This window comes from Homo sapiens, chromosome 19, assembly GCF_000001405.40.
Source record: "Homo sapiens chromosome 19, GRCh38.p14 Primary Assembly".
Taxonomy (NCBI): Eukaryota; Metazoa; Chordata; class Mammalia; order Primates; family Hominidae; genus Homo; species Homo sapiens.
In genome coordinates, this window is record NC_000019.10 from 23909635 (window position 1) to 23929470 (window position 19836).

The following is a 19836-nucleotide window of genomic DNA, read 5'->3' on the forward strand; positions in this document are numbered from 1 at the left end:
TGTTCTCTGGGGTGAAAACTCATCTTCAGGGCTGTCTACAACAAAAGAGAAACATCAGATTACCAAAACCTCAGGAATAGGGATTACAGATTGGATTAAGAGCCTGCGCTTTCTTAAGGATGATATGTATGGAAAATCAGCAAATAATTTCAGAATGATACAAGAAAAAATGCCTCTAATAGGTATTCATACTATAGTTCAACTCGATTTGTTCTGTACATGGTAGGGAAAATGGGATAAAATATCGTAAGTTCAAGCATTTTTGCTGCTCAGTCAGAATGAAACCCTGCAGCAGGCATGGGCATGTTTCATGAGAGAAATAGAATAAAAAGAGTTAGACAATATGATCATTTATTGCAAGCCCCCTGCCACTTGATTCAGTGAGCATTTTTGGGTGAAGTGGAACCTCTTTCTGTCAGGTCTGAAGGTTCAGATGTGTCGGTCCTATCTGCCCCTAGTTCACCTGAAAGTTCTATTGAGAACCCTTTGTCCCTCCTCCTTACCCTTCTAGTTCCTCTCTACACCCACCACGCCCTGAAGAATGGAACTCAGTGGGTACTACTAGTAGTGGGGCTGCCTATCAACCTCCAAAAGGAAATCTTTGTCCACTTAGAGAGGTTGCAAATGGGGAAGAAGTCATTGTGAGAGGACATGTCCCCTTTTCTATGTCTGGTTTGGCTCTATAATAAGACAAGTTTGGTCATTTCTCTGAAGATCCAGAAAAATTCATAGATGAGTTTGAAAAGTTAACTCTGACCTATACTTTAACTTGGCAGGATCTGTATGTTTTGTTGTCTCTGTGTTGTACGTGGAAGAGAAACAATGCATTTTGGGGACAGCTAGGACTCATGCAGATGAGGTATTGGCTTGCAGCCTGAACCATAATATATATCAGACAGGAGGTATAGCAGTTCCAGATTAAGATCTACGATGGAATATCAAAGGGGCAGTGAGGACTTGGGAGAAGAGATCATATGGTTACTTGTTTGTTGGAAGAGATGAAGAAATGTAAGAAAAACCTTGTTAACAATGAAAAGGTTAAGGAAGTTTCTCAGGGCAAAGACGAGAATCCAGCTTTGTTTCAATAGCATTTAGTTGAGGCAATCAGGAAATATACTAACATGGATCTTGCCTCAAGGTAAAGATAAACCCTTCTGGGAGTCCACTTTATAACCCAGTCTTCCTCTGATATCCATAGAAAACTAGTAAAAGCAGCTATGGGTCCCCAAACTTCTATGAACAGCTTTGGATATGGCATTTTTAGTTTTTAATAACAGAGGCAAAGTGGAGGAAGGAGAAAGAGGAAGAAGGACCTCCACAAGGTGCAGCTTTTGGCTGCAACCTTAAGCTTACCTCCCATATGGGAGGTTGCCTTCCTAGGTCTTGGCTTGAACAAGGGAAGCTGAAAGGTGAAAAGCCCAAAGCTGGGAATCCGAGTCACTGTGCTTTGGGCATAAATCAGTGTGCACACTGTAAGAAAACAGGCCATTGGAAGAGGGATAGTCCAGTGTTCTGAAGAGAGCCGTCAGCACCCAAACTAATGATGGGTGAAACAGCCAGGCAAGTGCCCAAGAGTGACGGGGCCTGAGACCTTCCATCACAGCTTCCATCAGACAACTAGCCATATATCTGGAGAAGCCTCAGTAACCTTTGCCATGGCAGGTAAGAATATTAATTTTTGCCAGGTGTGGTAGCTCACGCCTGCAATCCTAGCACTTTGGGAGGCCAAGATGGGAGGATCACTTGAGGTCAGGAGTTTGAGAGTAGCCTGGCCAACATGGTGAAACCCCATCTCTACTAAAAATACGAAAAAAAAAAAATCTGGGAATTGCTTGAATCCAAGAGGCGGAGGTTGTGGTGAGCTGAGATTGTGCCACTGCACTCCAGCCTGGGCAAGAGAGCGAGACTCTATCTCAAAAAAAAAAAAAAAAAAAAGAAAACAAAAAAGAATATTAACTTTCTTCTGGATGGCTTACTCTGTTTTGACCCATATAATGGGTCTCTGTTGCCCCAAAACTTCATGGTCACAGGGGTAGACTGAGAAGCCTATAGATGCCATTTTACCTATTCTCCATGCTGTTTTTCAGAGACCTTGGTTTTCTTACACAACTTTCTTATCATGCCTGGATACCTCAGGGCAGTTGCAGCAACTTCTCTTTTGGTAGATGAATCCAATAAACTGGCTTTAGAACAACACCTGGAAGTTAAAACCCACACCAAGTACAAGGAGTCCTAGAAGCTAAAGGACACCAGTGGATGACAGGGGGACGCTTATTGAAATAGCAGGCATTTTGCTAGACACTCCTGATAAACTACTGATATGAGGTGCTAATCAATAAAAAATAGTTAAACATTTGCATGACTCTACCCATTTGGGAAGAGATTCCCTGTTTCAAATAATGTCTTGGCTTTTTATAGAAAAAGGATTACTTAAAACAGTAAACTAGGTTACTTGAGCCTGTGAAGGATGTGTCTGGAATAACCCAAATGACCAATGTTTACCTCCTCCTTTAGTAAGGCCTATTCAGCATAGACGAACATACCCTGGTGAAGACTGGCAAATAGACTATACTCAGATGACCCCATGTAAAGGGTTTAAATATTTATTAGTATTCATTGACACCTTTGGATCGAGGCTTTTCCTACCCGATCTGAAAAGGCAATTGAGATTCCCAAACTCCTGCTAAAAGAAATAATTACACCCCTGGGTGAGGTGGCTCATGCCTGTAATCCCTGCACTTTGGGAGGCTGAGGCGGGTGGATCATCTGAGGTCAGGAGTTCAAGACCAGCCTGGCTAACATGATGAAACCCCCGTCTCTACTAAAAATACAAAAAATTAGCCAGGCGTGGTGGAGGGCACATCTAATCCCAGCTACTTGGATGCTGAAGCAGGAGAATCACTTGAAGCTGAGAGGCAGAGGTTGCAGTGAGCTTAGAGTGTATCACTGCACTCCAGCCTGGGTGACAAGAGTGAAACTCTTTTGCAAAAAAAAAAAAAAAAAAAAAAGAAAAGAAAAGAGAAGAAATAATTCCTAGATTTGGGCTGCTAAGAAATTACACAGAGATAATGGCTTATTTTTCACAGTGACAAATACACAAAACATATCTTGATACCTAGAAATTTAGTACTGCCTTCACTCAGCGTGAAGGCCACAGTCTTCAGTGAACGTAAAAAGAGCTAATCAAACTGAAAAGAGGACTCTTGCTATGCTATGCCAAGAAATATCAAAGACCTGGCTGTCTTTACTATCTGTAGCCTTATTACAGATTCCAGTGGCCTCTAAGGGAAATCTGCAGCTCAGCTCTTTTGAAATAATGTATGCAAGGCCTTTTTTAGCTACACGCCTTCTTTACTGTGCCTAATAGACACGGATACTTTCAAGTTACAGAATTATGTGACAAGTGCAAAACACACTCTGAATATGGAAATCAAAGACTCCTTTCCCCAACTAAGGAAGCTAATCTTGTTATAACCCAGCCAGGAAATTTGGTCCTATTAAAAACTTGGAAAAAAGGATCCCCAGCAGGTCAACTTTCCCCAAAGTGGAAGGGACCCTATCAAGTTCTCTTTAGTACCCCAACTGCAGTTAAAATTCTGGGAATAAATAGCTGGGTCCACTTAACTCGAATTAAACCTGTCTCTTATGAAGTCCTACAGGACGGCAGAACAGAAGAAACTGATCCTGTTTATTCCCATGAGCCAGTGACCTTTGACTCCTGTTCAGAAGAAATGAAAGGGATGGGTAACATAAAGATATAGATTGGCTTTCTACTTTTGGGAATTAGTTGAAATCATGCAGAGAGTAACTTATTTACTGAGTGGGCACAGACTTCATCCTGTCTACATAATCGAACAAACTGTTGTGTATGTAGACATTTAAACAGAGACTCAAAAGGAAACCTATGCTTTGATCAAAACCAAATGTTTTGTGTGTGCTCCAGACTATTTACATAACATAACCCAGGGCATAAAAGTTTTATGCACTCACATCTCTGCCATTTATGTGCTATCAGTGAACCATATATCAGTTTGGTTCTAACAACTGCCCACTTCTTGAAAGGCTTTCCTGTTTAGTTTACGTGGAATAATTTTACTAATTTTGCTTTGCTGTTGTGGAATATATTGTGGTTGTACTCTTTGTGTAGGAATGCAAGACAAGCTCACTAAATGCTTTCTTAAATTGGACGCTTATTAATCTTCTAGACATCACCTTCTTTTGGAACTAGAAGTTATGAACGACCTTCACCATACCAACACTGTCTGACTGAATTTCTCTCTACCCTGAATGCAAGAGACCAATGGTTAGGCAGGAATATTATCGCCCCTAATCAGCCTGAAAAAGTTACAGAAGACGAATCTTTGTCTCTCTGCAACTCTTAGGATTAAGGGTCCTCTTGTAAAGGAAGGCGAAAAATATGTCAGAATCATTTGAACCAGAGCGACTCCGTTTTGAGAGAGAGCTAGGAAAATGACGCTGAGACTCGCTGGGCTGCATTCTCAGTAAGTTAGGCATTCCTAGCCTCTAGATATTTATGGTTAAGGAAATGAATTAATAATGTTTACTAAGCAGAACCAGACGGAGGAGTGTCCAGATATTCCAACATCTGGGGAATAAAGGTATTCCTAATTTTGCTTTAAAGATAATATCGAGTCGGCCAGGCATGGTGGCTCACGACTGTAATCCTAGCATTTTGGGAGGTCGAGGCGGGTGGATCTCCTGAGGTCAGAAGTTCGAAACCAGCCTGGCTAACGTGGCGAAACCCCATCTCTACTAAAAAAAACCAAAAAACAAAAATTAGCCCGGTGTGGCTGTGTGCACCTGTAGTCCCAGCTACTATGGAGGCTGAGGCAGGAGAATCGCTTGATCCCGGAAGGCGAAGGTTGCAGTGAGCCGAGATCGCGCCATTGCACTCCAGCCTGGACAACAAGAGCGAAACTTTGTCTAAAAAAAAAATTATTCACATATTTAATACGTTGAAAAAAAGACAGCAAAGAAGAGAGAAAATTTTTCCGTGTTCTGAGATGGGCCTCGTTCAGCTCCGGGAGGAAGCCCCGCCTGAAAAGGCTGAGGCTTAGGCTGTCAATCTTTCTTCATTCAGCCCAACGTCTGATGACATCTTCTGTCACTCAGGGCCTTAGAAAGCGGGGTTCTTAAACGTTATCCAATCAGAGACGCTGTCCTGGGAACTGTCCAATCAGGCACGCAGCTGGAGCGAACAGGGCGGCTTCCGGGATTTGGCGGGGCCTTTGTCTCTATCTGCGGCCGGAGCTCCAGGTCTCGTCCTCACTACTCTGTGTCTTCTGCTTTTAGGGGCGCAGCCTCTGTGGCCCTGTGACCTGCCCCCTGGAAGCCTAGAAATGGTGAGAGTGCCGGGTGCGACATCCCAAGAGAGGGAACGGGGCTGGCTGGAACCGGTGGGAAGCGGCAGTGGCGGGACTCAGGCCTCCTCGCTGTCAGTTTTACAATCTGCGCCCGAGTTGTTGCCCAGCTCGGCCTCAGTCCCTTCAGCCTTAAGATGGCGGCTGCGCTGACAGCCGGGCTCCCGGGCGTTCTGTCTCTTCACTGCGCAGTGACTGTGCCCTGGCCTGGAGCCCTCTTTGGGCAGCTCTGCACCAGTAGCCCCGCGTCTCTCCCAGATTGTGCAGGGACCATGGGAGGAACGTCAGGGCAGAATCCTGACTCCGGGTGCGGGCTCATGAATGGGAAGAGCTTTGGTCCGTGGGGTTTTCAGGCCATTTTTTCCTATTAAAAATTTATGGGCCTCACTGCAAAAACATTAAATAATTTAAAGTGTGATTCAAAAATTTTAGAGCACCTTGCTGTGGTTTCTAATTTGTATTCCATGGAAGGAAAGGTTTTTATAAGTTTCATCATAAAACCAAATTCCGTAATTGGCTAGGTACGGTTATGTAGATTTTGTTGTTATTTTGTTGTTGTTGTTTTGTTTTCATTTTCTTTTTTTTTTGAGGCAGAGTCTCTGTTGCCCAGGCTGAAGTGCAGTTTCGTGATCTCGGCTCACTGCAACCTCCACCTCCCGGGTTCAAGCGATTTTTCTGCCTCAGCCTCCCTAGTAGTTGGGACTACAGGCGCCTGCCACCACATTTGGCAATTTTTTTTATTTTTAGCGGAGACGGGGGTTTCACCGTGTTGGTCAGGCAGGTCTCGATCTCCTGACCTCAGGTGATCCACCCACCTCGGCCTTCCAAAGTTCTGGGATTACAGGCGTGAGCCACTGCCCCCGTCCTAGTTCTTAATTTTTACAATCAAGGTGGAAATATCATGGTTATGTAATCAGAGCTTAATTGGCAGTTTATAGTTGGTTAAGCGTTAAGCCTGAATTTTGTTTCTGCCAATGTAGTAATTTACAAAAAAATGCTCTTGAGTTTAGACTTTTTTTTTAGAAGTAGAAATCCAGGGACTAGAGCCACCTCAATCTAATTTCCTGCCACTTAATGGTTTTCACACTCCACAGGGGACTGATTTTTTCCCTGAATTTTTCACAAGTGTCCCAAGCAGGGCCTCAAGTCTGCCCCTCATCCCTTATTCCTCCAGCCTGACTGGCTTGCAGTAAAATACTAAATTTCCAGTTTTGTCTGACGTTGCCAAATGCCAGTTTCTCCTCTCTAATTGACTTTATCAACTATTTGTCCTTTAGTGTACATATTGATACCTATTTTAATGAATCTTTTTTTTTTTTTAAAAGTATTTGAGACAGAGCCTTGCTCTGTTGCAGTGCAGTGGCTGGAGTGCAGTGGCATGACTTAGGCTCACTGCAGCCTCCGCCTCCTGGGCTCAAACGGTTCTCATTTCTGTCTCCCAAGTAGCTGGAATTACAGATGCCTGGCACCACGCCTGGCTAATTTTTGTAGTTTTAGTAGAGACGGGGTTTCACTATGTTGGCCAGGCTGGTCTTGAACTTCTGGTTTCAAGTCATCCTCCTGCCTCGGCCTCCCAAAGAGCTGGGATTACACATGTGAGCTACCGTGCCTGGTGAATTAATTATTTTTTGACAAAGCATTTGATGGCACATTTACAATGATTTTTTTTCTAAATATTTCCTACGAGAATAAAGCAAAGAATAATCTGACACTATTGTAAAATATCTGTGTTTTTTTCTTTTATTTTACCTAGTCACAGATATCTTAGAATGTTTTTGGGTCAAGATTTTTTTTTTTTTGGAAACTTCATAGGGTGACGTATCTTCAGTCACACTTCAGTTTTAGACAATCAACTAATTGAATGGCCTGACTTGACACATGAGTAAAACATATCTGTACCTTGAAAGGATTTGTTCATTTGCTTTGACCTAAAGTTTATTTATGTATCTTTTTAAGACAGAGTTTCCCTCTGTCACCCAGGCTGGAGTAAAGTGGTGCCATCTCTGCTCACTGCAACCTCCAAATCCTGACTTCAGGTGATTGTCATGCTTCAGTCTCCCAAGTAGGTGGGATTACAGGTGTGCACCACCACACCCACCTAGTTTTTGTATTCTTAGTAGAAATGGAGTTTCACCATGCTAGCCAGGCTGGTGTCAAACTTCTGGCCTCAAGTGACTCACCTTCTTTGGCCTCCCAAAGTGCTGTGATTACAGGCATGAGCCACTGTGCTCAGCTGACCTCAGTTTTTTAACTGTGTATTGCATTTTATTAGTAGAGCTTGAAAGGTAAGGAAATATTTACAAAGGCCATAAAAGGTGAGTTTCAAAAATTAATAATATATTTTACTTGTTGAAAACTTTTACTTTATCTTTCTCAGAGTGAGTTTAGAAATTTTCTCAGGCATGTGCTTTTATGGCTGAGTGATTTCATACAGAAGTCCATCTAGCTTTTAGAATGGTAGCTACCAAAGAAAAAAAGAAAAAAAAAAAAAATCTCTGTTCAATTTCAGCTGTAGACAATGAATACATTTCCCCAAAAAATGTGGTAGATAATTGGTGAGTTACATATATTACTGAAAACTTCAGTTCCTTTTTTTTAGCAGGGTAAAATTTTGACAGTGAATATCTTTATTCTGTATCCTTTTTTGTTTGTTTACTACCTGATTTTTAATACAAATAATAAAATAATACATTTACTGTCTGAAAGGAATACATAGTTTTGCTTTTCTTACTGAGGTATAAAATGTAAGCACCTTAAAATGTTCTTTCGTTATATGAACACCGAGGAATTTTGCTGATTTTTTCTAACAGTTTTAGTTTCAAAAATGAAATTAATAACTAACATGGAAATTAAAGCTTAAGCTGCAGGAGGGTGCCCCTTGTAGGTTGCCATGAGAGTAAGCAGGAACAAAGGAAAGTAGAGGGGTTTTATTACCTCTAAGCAGCTTGTCCTTCTTACTGTGTCCTGTCTCCATTGGCTGGAGTTGGATGGCACAATCCAGTTGGCTAAACCCGGTTGGCTAACTTGAAAAGTGCAGGAATGCGGTTATACCTGTGGCAAGGCAGGAAGATCAGTTTCGGTGGAAGTAGCCCTTGTGACGGGAGGGGTAATTCACAGAGTGGGTAGCAGGTGTGGGATGTGGCTCCATACATAAGAACTGGCGAGAAGGTTGTTTACCAGGGAAGGGGGAACACAGAGAGTAAGGAAGTCTGGCCTTGAAAGCAAGGGAAAAAAGGGCAAAGAAACTTAAGCAAGCTAAACTTTTGAAGAATAATTTCTTACAGTATTCAACATCTATGCATTACACGATTAAGAAAAGGCTCATTTAAACAGGATGGCATTTATTACCCAGAAAGTTCTGAAAAAACTGTCGGGAGATACCTGCTTATTAGGGTGCTAAAAAAAGGCCACTTAAAATCACTATTAAAAATTGTAGAACATGGAAGATATCTGTATCTTGGACTTTCCATAAAAATGATGTTTTCTTAGGGCTAAATTCAGACTGTAATTTGCTTTAGTGGGGGTAATACCTCAGTAGTGATGCTGTGTCCTGCGTGCATCAGCACACTATAAAGACTTGTCCTAGTGCAGTTGATGTTAATTCCATAAGCTCTCTTACAGAATTTTTCTTTATGGAGTTATTTTTCTCTTCATCATTAAGTATCTTCATGCAGCTGATGTGCATAAACCATCACACTTAAATGGCAGCTGCCTGTTTTTTTTAGGTATTCTTTGCATTTATCTTTTGTTGGTAAATGAAAGCTCTCATCTTTGTTTACAGGCCAGAAAAACTGAAAAAAAAAACACGACTCTTCCACTTACTGGATGTTTGACAAAATAGTCTTTTGGGGCCAAAACATTTGCATTACTAATGAGCTTGATAGAGATTCAGTAACTCAGACTTTATTTCAGATCTTCTGAAAAAATACTCTGCATTAACGAGATGTCCAGTTTATTGTACACATTTAAATTTGAGTGGTACCTTCTAACTCAACATGTTTATTTTGTCTGAAAAATATAAACAGCTGTCTTTTTCATCTGAAAAATATACACAACTCATTCAGTATTATGTAAATACTGTACTCAAAAATGTACATGTTAGTACATTTTTACACTTTATCATTCAGAAAAGTATCATATATACACTGATGTTCTGGATATTATGCCAGTCTCTTTTCTCAGAGTTAGAGAATACATTAGAAAATGTTTGTGTTTTGACAATTATTTTATTGGATAATTTCAGTCCCTCTTATAAGTTAGAATCAATTCTATTCACTTTCTGATTTTACCTTGAGTCAAATGAAAAATTCTGCCCATAGCCACTTTGTAAATATGTGTGTTTGTGTGTATTTTCCAGGGACTGTTGACATTTAGGGATGTGGCCATAGAATTCTCTCTGGAGGAGTGGCAGTGCCTGGACACTGCACAGAAGAATTTATATAGGAATGTGATGTTAGAGAACTACAGAAACCTGGCCTTCCTGGGTGAGGATAACTTTAATACAAAATTTTTAATATAAACTAAAGCTTTTATTTTTCTTTTGTAGTATGTTTTCTGGTAATTTATGCTTTCCTATTTCTGTTTTCAAGAAAATCCTGGGGATTTGTCTGTTTAGAAAAAATTTCTTCAAGATGTTTCATCCTGACCTGAAATTTCCACATTCCTGAGCTGATCTGTGTCTTTCGCTTTAGATTAGTGGTAATTTCAGAACCTTAGTGGCATAAAATATTGTTATTCACACCTTAAAATCCAAGTGCCATTACCAATTTTTGCTTCAGTAGTACCAGGCAGTGAAATTAAGAACCTACAAAATTAAAATATTCTGTAAATATTTAAAAATTTCTGTTATAAATTAGTATATGGGATAAATTTATTAGAATATTCTATTATATCCCTTTTACTTTGCACATTACTAAGTTGGTAATTGGAGAATATGAGCAAGATTCATGTTAATTATTTTTAATAAAACAGGTATTGCTGTCTCTAAGCCAGACCTCATCATCTGTCTGGAGAAAGAAAAAGAGCCCTGGAATATGAAGCGAGATGAGATGGTGGATGAACCCCCAGGTAGGTGAGAGTGAATACAACAGATGACCTGGATGAGAGGTCCAACGTCAAGAAGAAAGCCAGTCTTTAAAGTGATTTGGAAAGCTGCATTCCAAAGGAAACCGTTTCTGGAAAGCCTGAAATTTAAAAAAAAATATACTCTCAGATAGGGGCATCTTCTGCTTATGCTTATAAAATCTCTAAGAATTCTACTCTCCCTTCAATGATCTTCCTTAACGTTTACAGTGACAGCCAAAGTACTGTTCATGGCATATAAAAGAGTGTACAATCTGACTTTTTTTTTCTTGTTTTTGTGGACAGATAGATATCTGCATAGTTTTGAGACACTCTATGTTAAAATTTTTTTTTGTTTTAGAAGGAGTTTCGCTTTTGTGGCCCATGCTGGAGTGCAATGGTGCGATCTCGGCTCACTGCAACCTCTGCCTCCCAGGTTGAAGTGATTGTCCTGCCTCAGGCTCCTGAGTAGCTGGGGTTACAGGTGCACACCACCACAACTGGCTAATTTTTTGTATTTCTCGTAGAGACGGAGTTTCATCATGTTGGCCAGGCTGGTCTCCTGACCTCAGGTGATCCACCCACCTCAGACTCCCAAAGTGCTGGGATTACAGGTGTGAGCCACCGTGCCTGGCCTCTCTTTTTGCACAAGAGTAGTGGTTTCTGTTTCATTAGGGGTTTTTTTTTGTTTGTTTGTTTTTCTGCTCATTTCATCCTGTTTTTTTTCTTGCTTTCTTTTTTTTTTTTGTTTATTTAATATGGCCGTTTTTACTTCCTGCAGAAAGGGTATACTCGCCAGCAGTTTTGCCATGAGAGTACACTGAGCAAAGGAGACAGGGTCATTTATAACCTGATGTGTCCACTCTACTGCTGTGTCCAGTTTCCACTGGCTGGAACGGGCATCCTGTTTTCATTACTATAGCCTTGAAATATAGTTTGGGCCATGCGTGGTGGCTCACGCCTGTAATCCCAGCATTTTGGGAGGCCAAGGTGGGTGAATCACGAGGTCACGAATTTGAGACCAGCCTGGCCAACATGGTGAAACCCCATCTATACTAAAAATAAAAAAATTAGCTGGGCTCAGTGGTGGGCACCTGTAATCCCAGCTACTCAGGTGGCTGAGGCAGGAGAATTGCTTGAACCCAGGAGCCAGAGGTTGCAATGAGCTGAGATCATGCCACTGTACTTTAGCCTGGGCGGCAGAGCAAGACTCTCTCTCGATGTATATATATATAGTTTGAAATTATAAAGTATAATGTCCTTCTGCTTTGTTCTTTTTCCTCAAGATTGCTTTGGCTATTCAAAATTTATTGTGGTTTCGTGTACATTTTAGGATTGTAATTTTCATTACTGTGAAAAACTGGAATTTTGACAGGGAGTTTATTGAGTCTAGAGATCACCTTAGATAATATGGCAGTTTCACAATACTTATTCTTTCAATAGAAATAAAATATTTTTAAATTTATTTGTGTCCTCTCTAATTTTTTTATTGCTATATCTTTCACTTAAAAGATTTATGAGCTGCTTGGTTAAATTTGTTCTAAAATTGATTATTTTATTGCTATTGTAAATAATGTTTTTTCCTCTATTTTATCAGAGAGATGGTTTTAAGTGTATGGAATGATAACTTATAATTGTATGTTAATTTCATATTTTGCTAATCAACTGAGTGTATTAATTAGTTTAAAGAGGTTTTAATGTACTTTTTTATATGTAAGATGACATAATCTACAAACAGTGACGTTTTACTTATTGGTCTTCAATTTCAATGACTTTAAATTTTTGTTTTGACTACTTCTTAATTCACATACTTTCAGTGCTATGTTAAAATAGAAGCATTGACAATAAGAGACAATAGTATTGCGTTGGTGTCTGTAAATTTGAAGGAGCAAACACCTCTTCAGAATTTTATAAACTGGTTTCAGAAACTAAAAATCTATTTTCGTTGTACCCCCAGGGTGATAGAATATCCTCTGGGTTTGTAGTGAAGAGGGGTTGTAGCTTGGTCTTAAGTCTGCTGGGTTTGCACAAGGGTCCACTTTTAGTTGTCTTGTTAAACAGGGCTTGGATATTTGTAATTCTCATTTAAATTTTAGACAGAGTGAGTATCCTTCAGGACTTTGCTCTGAAGGGCAGACCCAAGGGCAGGTTTCTGCAGTCAGGTCTGTATATGGTGTTCTTTATATCAGGATGTGGATGAGCATGGCTTTCACCCAGTACAAGAGAGGATTTTCCCAGGTCACTTTGGATTTCTACATAGGCAGAACTGGCCATGAACTGTGGCTCAGGGAGCTGGAACTGAGTCATGGAACTGCTTCAGGGACCACAGGAAAGGCCAAGGTCTGAGGCCTGCCATCATGGCTATAAATGGAGGTCTTCCTCCAGGCCTCTGGAAGGGCAGGACCCACGCTGCCCATTGGCTCCCAAGACTGTGGCTGTGAAGAGTTTGGGATGGTTACAGAGTAAGTTTAAAATTCTCAGTGGAACCAAGTTAGGTGGAGCACTTTCTTGTCTGTAGCCAAAAACAGTGGTCATGTAGTTTGCAACCTGAACGGAGGCCTGCCTTCTAAACAGAATTACCTTGAATCTTGGGCTTTAGCAGAATTTCACAACTCCTTTCCTGGATCTCAGAGCTCTCTTAAAGGCATTTATTTTTGAGATGAGGTCTTGCTACATAATCCAGGCAAGTCTTAATATTTTGACCTCAAGCAGTTCTTCAACTGTAATGTACCATGTAGTTTTCATTACAGGTGTGAACCATGATGCCTGGTTCTCTCATAAAAGCATTTTTGTCAGGAATGGATGACAAATTTTCTTGCTGTCAGGGGATAAGCAAATAGGTCACCTTTTTTTTTTTTTATCTTATTAATGCCACTCTCCATATAAATTTTTACTTTCTATTTTCTACTTCAAATTTGTCTGTAATTTTAGATTCAGACATTTAGGACAATATACTAGAATTTACATGTTGTTCCTGAATTAAATTAGATAATACGCAGGCAGGCAAAAAGGAATTACAGAATTTTCAACCACTTTTGTCAGCCTATAACTAAATAACATAATTTATTCCCCAAATATTTGTTTCACATATGAGGCTCTAACCATATTCTGCTAAATATATATATAATTAAGCAATGTAAGGCTATTCTTTGCTTCTAAACTTGGATTACAGTAGTTTTATTTTGTGTAAAAATAGCATATATTTAAAACATAAAAATTGGCATGAATTTCTTTTAAATGCTTATCTATTAAAAGTTTCTCATTAGCATCTCCTATTTATGATTGTACTGCATTTTCTCTGAAATTTTATTGCCATACAATAGATGCCAGTAATTTTTTTTTTTTTTTTTTTTGAGATGGAGTCTCGCTCTGTCACCCAGGCTGGAGTGCAGTGGCGTGATCTTGGCTCACTGCAACCTCCGCCTCCCAGGTTCAAGCCATTCTCCTGCCTCAGCCTCCTGAGTAGCTGGGACTATAGGTGCCGACACCGCGCTTGGCTAATTTTTTGTATTTTTAGTAGAAACGGGGTTTCACCGTGCTCTCGATCTCCTGATCTCGTGATCTGCCCGCCTCGGCCTCCCAAAGTGCTGGGATTACAGATGCCAGTAATTTAAAATGCCTGCCTTCCATGAATGCACAGTTACAGTCAAACATTGCAGTTATCTAGACAAATTATTTGTTAATGTACATAAATGTTGCCAACTAGTTGTAATGAGTAAACATTTCTGTTATTGTGTTGCAGTTTTATATTAGTGTTTTTTGTAGTGTAAGTTTCCTAACATCAGTTTATTGTGCCTATTGGTTTTTTCTTATATATTATGTTTTGTATACTTTAAGTTAATGTGGAGTTTAATTAAAAGATAAATGAGCCATGTCTATCACAGTCAAATTATATATATGTGTGTGTGTTTATATCTATAAATATGACCCCAATTTTGGTTATACCTTGTATATATTCTTTCTTAGCTCTTTTTTTTTTTTCTTTGAGAGGAAGTTTTACTCTTGTTGCCGAGGCTGAAGTGTAATGCACGATCTTGACTCACTGCAACCTCTGTCTCCCGGGTTCAAGTAATTCTCCTGCCTCAGCCTCCTGAGTAGCTGGGATTACAGGCACATGCCACCACACCTGGCTAATTTTGTATTTTTTTTTTTTTTTTAGTAGAAATGGTATTTCTCCATGTTGGTCAGGCTGGTCTCAAACTCCTGACCTCAGTTGAAATGCCCACCTTGGCCTCTGAAAGTGCTGGGATTACAGGCGTGAGCCGCCTTGCCTGGCCTCTTAGCTCATTTTCAATGTTGGTTTTATCTTGTCTAAGTTAGTAGCCTTGGAAATAGTCTTATTTTCACCATGTGTTTAATGATGAATATATATTTCCTTTGTGTGAGATAATTCTTTTGTGATTTGAAGGTAATTTTTAAAAAAGATTCATAATCCTGTATTGTCTCCAGTTTTTTAAAAAATAATTGTTTTAAAAAAACATAACATATAATTTACCTTCTTAAATCCATTTAAATGTACATGTCAGGGCGAGGCAATGTGGTGGATCCCTTCTGTAAAACCAGGATTTTGAGAGGCCGGGACAGGAGGTTTGCTTGAGCCCAAAAGATTGAGACCAACCTGGGTAAAATATGGAGACACCCTCTCTACAGATATTTTTTTCTAAGAAATAGCAAGGCATGGTGGTGTGCACCTGTGGTCCCAGCTACTTGAGAGTTTGAGGGTCAGGATTACTTGACGCTGGGAGTGTGAGGCTGCAGTGAGCCATAATTGTCCCATTGTACTCAAACTTGGGTGACAGATTGAGACCTTGTCTTAAAAAAAAAAAAGTGTATATTTCAGGCATATCATGTATATTCACATTGTTATGCAAAAGACTTCTAGAAATTTTACATCTTGTAAAACTAAAACTCAATATCCATTAAATAACATTTACCCATTTTATGCTCTCTTTAGCCCTTGAGAAGCACTTTTCCACTTTCTGTTTTTACAAGTGTAATTGTCTTATATATCTAAGTGAAATCGTAACATCCATCATTTCTTTACTGGTTTATTTCAGTTGGCATAATATTCTCAAAGTGTATCTTCAAATGTGACGATTTTTTTCAAGGCTGAATAATATTCCATTGTATCAAATATGTCTTCAGGTTCCTATGTTATGTATTTTAGATATAGATTCATAAATGGAATCACTTTATTTAATAATTTATATTATTTGAAGTACATTTATAACATTATAAAATAATTGGTACATCTTTATTTTCCACCGACAATCAACCCAACTAACTTTTGTATTTTTAGTAGAGACGGGATTTCACCATGTTGGTCAGGCTGGTCTCAAACTCCTGACGTCAGGATTCACCCACCTCTGCCTCCCAAAGTGCTGGGATTACAGGCTTGAGCCACCACGCCCGGCCAAGGGTTTTATTTTTATTGCATCATCAACAGATTTGGTGTTTTCAAAAAATTGATAGTGGCCATTTAAATGAGTGTGAGGGGATTTTGTTTTTTATTATGACTTTTATGCATTTCTCTACAAATTAGTTTTGAGTGTCCTTTCAAATTTTTGAAGAAAATTTATTTCAATTTGTCTATTTCTAAATAAAGTTATTCAATTTGATTGTTCAGTTTTTCTTTTCTTTTTTTTTTTTTTTTTTTGGGAGATGAAGTCTTGCTCTGTCACCCAGGCTGAAGTGCAATGGTGAGATCTCGGCTCCCTGCAACCTCCGCCTCCTGGGTTCAAGCGATTCTCCCACCTCAGCCTTGTGAGTAGCTGAAATAACAGGCGTGTGCCACCATGCCTGGCTCATTTTTGTATTTTTAGTAGAGACAGAGTTTCACCATGTTGGTCAGGATGGTCTGGAACACCTGTCCTCGTGATCCGCCTGCCTCTGCCTTTCAGTGTGCTGCAATTACAGGTGTGAGCCACCACGCCCGGCTATTGTTTGGTTTTAAAAGTTTATAGTTTTTGAATATTGACTCCCATCACATGTAATTTGTAAATATTTTCACCCATTTTCTAGAATGCATTATCCATCTTTTAAATATTTATATGTGCAGAAATGTTGAAGTGTAGTGTAGTTAAATTTTTTGTTTTTTTCTTTGGTGCTCATGCATTTAATTTTATATCTAAGAAAATGGCCCCAAGACTGATGTCGTGTTTTCCCTATATATTTTAAAGAGATTAAGAAGTTATCCGGTCGGGTGCGGTGGCTCATGCCTGTAATCCCAGCGCTTTGAGAGGCTGAGGTGGGCGGATCATAAGGACAGGAGTTCAAGACAAGCCTGGCCAACGTGGTGAAACCCCGTCTCTACTAAAAATACAAAAAAATTAGCTGAGCGTGATGGCGTGCATGTTAATCCCAGCAACTCAGGAGGTTGAGGTGGGAGAATCACTTGAACCCAGGAGGCGGAGGTTGTAGTGAGCCGAGACCATGCCACTGCACTCCACCTGGGCTGCACTCCAGCCTGGGCAACAGAGCAAGACTCTGTTCCAAAAAAAAAAAAAAAAAAAAGTTATCTTCCTATGTCTAATGAAAAGATTTTTCACATATGGTATAGAGAAATAATCGAACTTCATTTTATCGTTATGGATGTTCAGCTTTCAACATAATTTTTTGAAAAGATTATCTTTTTTCTACTGTGTGCTCATGTTAATTTTGTGGGAGATTATTTGGCCTTACACAGAAGGGTTCATTTCTGGGCTCTCTATTCTGTTCTTTCATCTCTTTATCTGTCTTTGTGTCAGTACCAAATTGTTTTTGTTATTGTTGATTTTAATGTGTTTCAAAATCAGAAAATATAATGTCTCTGTTGTTTTTCATGGGTGTTTGTCTATAGTTCATAATAAAATTTTAACATTTTAAACAATGTTTCCTTAAAAAACCCCTATTTGGATTTATATAAAAATTATTATTTTTTGAGATGGAGTCTTGCTCTGTCGCCCAGGCTGGAGTGCAGTGGCACTATCTCGGCTCACTGCAACCTCTGCCTCCCAGGTTCAAGCAATTCTCCTGTCTCAACTTCCAGAGTAGCTGGGATTACATGCCCAGCTAAATTTTTTTGTATTTTTAGTAGAGACGGGGTTTCACTGTGTTGCCCAGGCTGGTTTAGAATTCCTGAGTTCAGGCAATCCACCCGCCTCAGCCTCCCAAAGTGCTAGGATTACAGGTGTGAGTCACCTCACCCGGCCATAAAAATTATATTAAATATGTCTACCACTGTAGGTTGTATTGACATTTTGAAAAATTAATGTTTTTTTATTCCTGAGCAAAAATATGTTGAAAAGTGTGTTTTATTTTTATATATTTTTATATTGTTCAGTTTTACTTTTAATTTCTAGTTTAATTCAGTTTTGGTCAGACAACACAAAGTGTGTAATTTTGGTCTTCTTAAATTTATTTGTTATTGTTGTGTTTGTTGTGGTTTTTGTTTGTATACAGGATCTTACTCTGTCACCCAGGCTGGAGTGTACTGGCATGATTTTGGCTCACTGCAGCCTCAACCTACTGGGCTCAAGTGATCTTTCCACCTCAGTGTCTCCAGTAGTTGGGACTACAAACATAACGTACCATGTCTGAATAATTCTTTGATTATTTGTAGGGATAGAGTTGCCCAGGCTGGCCTCAAACTTTTAACTCCAAGTGATCCTCCCACCTTGGTCTCTCTAAGTGTTGGGATTATAGGCATGAGCTACACCACCCAGCTGGCATTCTTAAATTTGATAAAACTTAGTATGTGTCCTAACAGAATACACCAGCTGCAAATAAGAATATTGTGTATTTTCTTGCTTTTGACTGGAAAGTTCTGTACTCATCTGTTAAACCTAGTTGGTCTATAATATGGTTTTGATGTTCATGTCCTCCAAACCTTATGATTAAATGCAATTTTTAATGTTGGATGTGAGACCTGGTGGGAGGTGTTTGGGTCATGGGGGCAAAGTCCTCATAGATAGCTTGGCACCATCCTCTCAGTAATGAAAATGTTTATACTCCATTAATTCAAATGAAAGCAGGTTTATTAGAAGAACCTGGCTCCTTCGCCTCATACTTGCTCTGTCTCTCATCATGTAATATGTGCAGTTACTCTTCGCCTTCAATCATGACTGTAAGCTTGGTGACACTCTCACCAGAAGCAGATGCTGGCACACTTTCTACAGTCTGCTAAATTGTGAGCCAAATAAATATTATTTCTTTATAAGTTATCCACTCTCCAGTATTCACCTATATGCAAAATAATTGATACAGTCTATAATGTTGTCTAGGTTTTCTGTTTTCTTATTTTTTGTTTAATGTGAATTTTCTATTACGGAAAATGGGGTCTTGATGTCTACAATTATTATGTTGCTATGTATTTCTTGCTTTACTTTTGTCAATATTTACTTTATATATTTTGGAGCCCTGATATTGTACATACACATACAGATAGATAGAGAGATAGATAGATAGATAGATATAGTAGTTATACATTTGTGGTAATATCAACCCATTTTACCAATATATACTACCAATGTTTGTCTCACGTTAGCACTTGACTTAAAATATATTATGTCTAAAACCCAAGTGTAGTTACTATTTTCATAAAATACAGGTTTTTGCACTATGTAATTTTCAGCCTATTTGACTCAGTGCTAAAATGAGTCCCTTGTAGGTGGCATATGGTTTGCTTTTTCTTAAGCCACTAAAGCATTTTATTTTTTCTTTTTATAATTTCATTTATTTACTTGTTTATTCATTTATTTTTGAGATAGGTCTCACTCTGTCAACCAGGCTGGTTTGCAGTGTTGTGATCATGGCTCACAGCAGCCTCAGTTTCTCAAACTCAGAAGATTCTCTCATTTCAGCCTCTCAGGTAGCTGGGTTACAAGTGTGTAGCATCACACCTAGCTAGTTTTTTTTGTATTTATGGTTGAGACAGTTTTGCCGCGTTGCCAAGGCTGGTCTCAAACTTCTGAGATCCAGTGATCAGCCCATCTTAACCTCTCAAAGTCCTGAGATTATATTTTTTTCTATTAAGTAGTTTAATTTATATTTAAAATTATTTATTAAAAATGAAGTTACTACTTTTATTGTGATTGTTTTATGTGTTCCTCAGTGGTATTTTTTATATGTTGGTTTATTGCCTTAAATTTCATTTTAATTGTGTAGTGATGTGCTTCAATTATTTTTTATATCTTGTTTTGCATAGTTTCTATAAATATTATCTTCATAATCATCTTGTGTATTCGTCTGTTTTTATGCTGCTAATGAAGACATACCTGAGACTGGGCAATTTAGAAAAGAAAGAGGTTTATTGGACTTACAGTTGTGTGTGACTGGGGAGACCTCACAATCATGGTGGAAGGTGAAAGGCATGTCTCACATGGTGGCAGACAAGAGAGGGAGCTTGTGCAGGAAA

The 19836-nt window shown here is 39.1% G+C and overlaps 1 protein-coding gene across 4 annotated transcripts in view; it reads left to right on the plus strand.

Moving 5' to 3' along the window:
- The first annotated feature begins 5251 nt into the window (after nucleotides 1–5251).
- The window catches only part of ZNF726 (zinc finger protein 726), a 29829-nt gene continuing 15244 nt past the window's right edge, over nucleotides 5252–19836 (plus strand). For 2 of the 4 annotated variants that reach the window (NM_001348687.2, NM_001244038.2), the window contains exons 1-3: nucleotides 5252–5363; nucleotides 9739–9865; nucleotides 10353–10448. In NM_001348687.2, coding sequence (NP_001335616.1) covers nucleotides 5361–5363; nucleotides 9739–9865; nucleotides 10353–10448 — 226 coding nt within the window. In that variant the 5' untranslated portion in view covers nucleotides 5252–5360. Of the gene's footprint in view, nucleotides 5364–9738; nucleotides 9866–10352; nucleotides 11908–13798; nucleotides 16061–19836 lie in introns of those variants that run through there. The other 2 variants (NM_001348688.2, NM_001348689.2) reach the window with 2 other exon arrangements.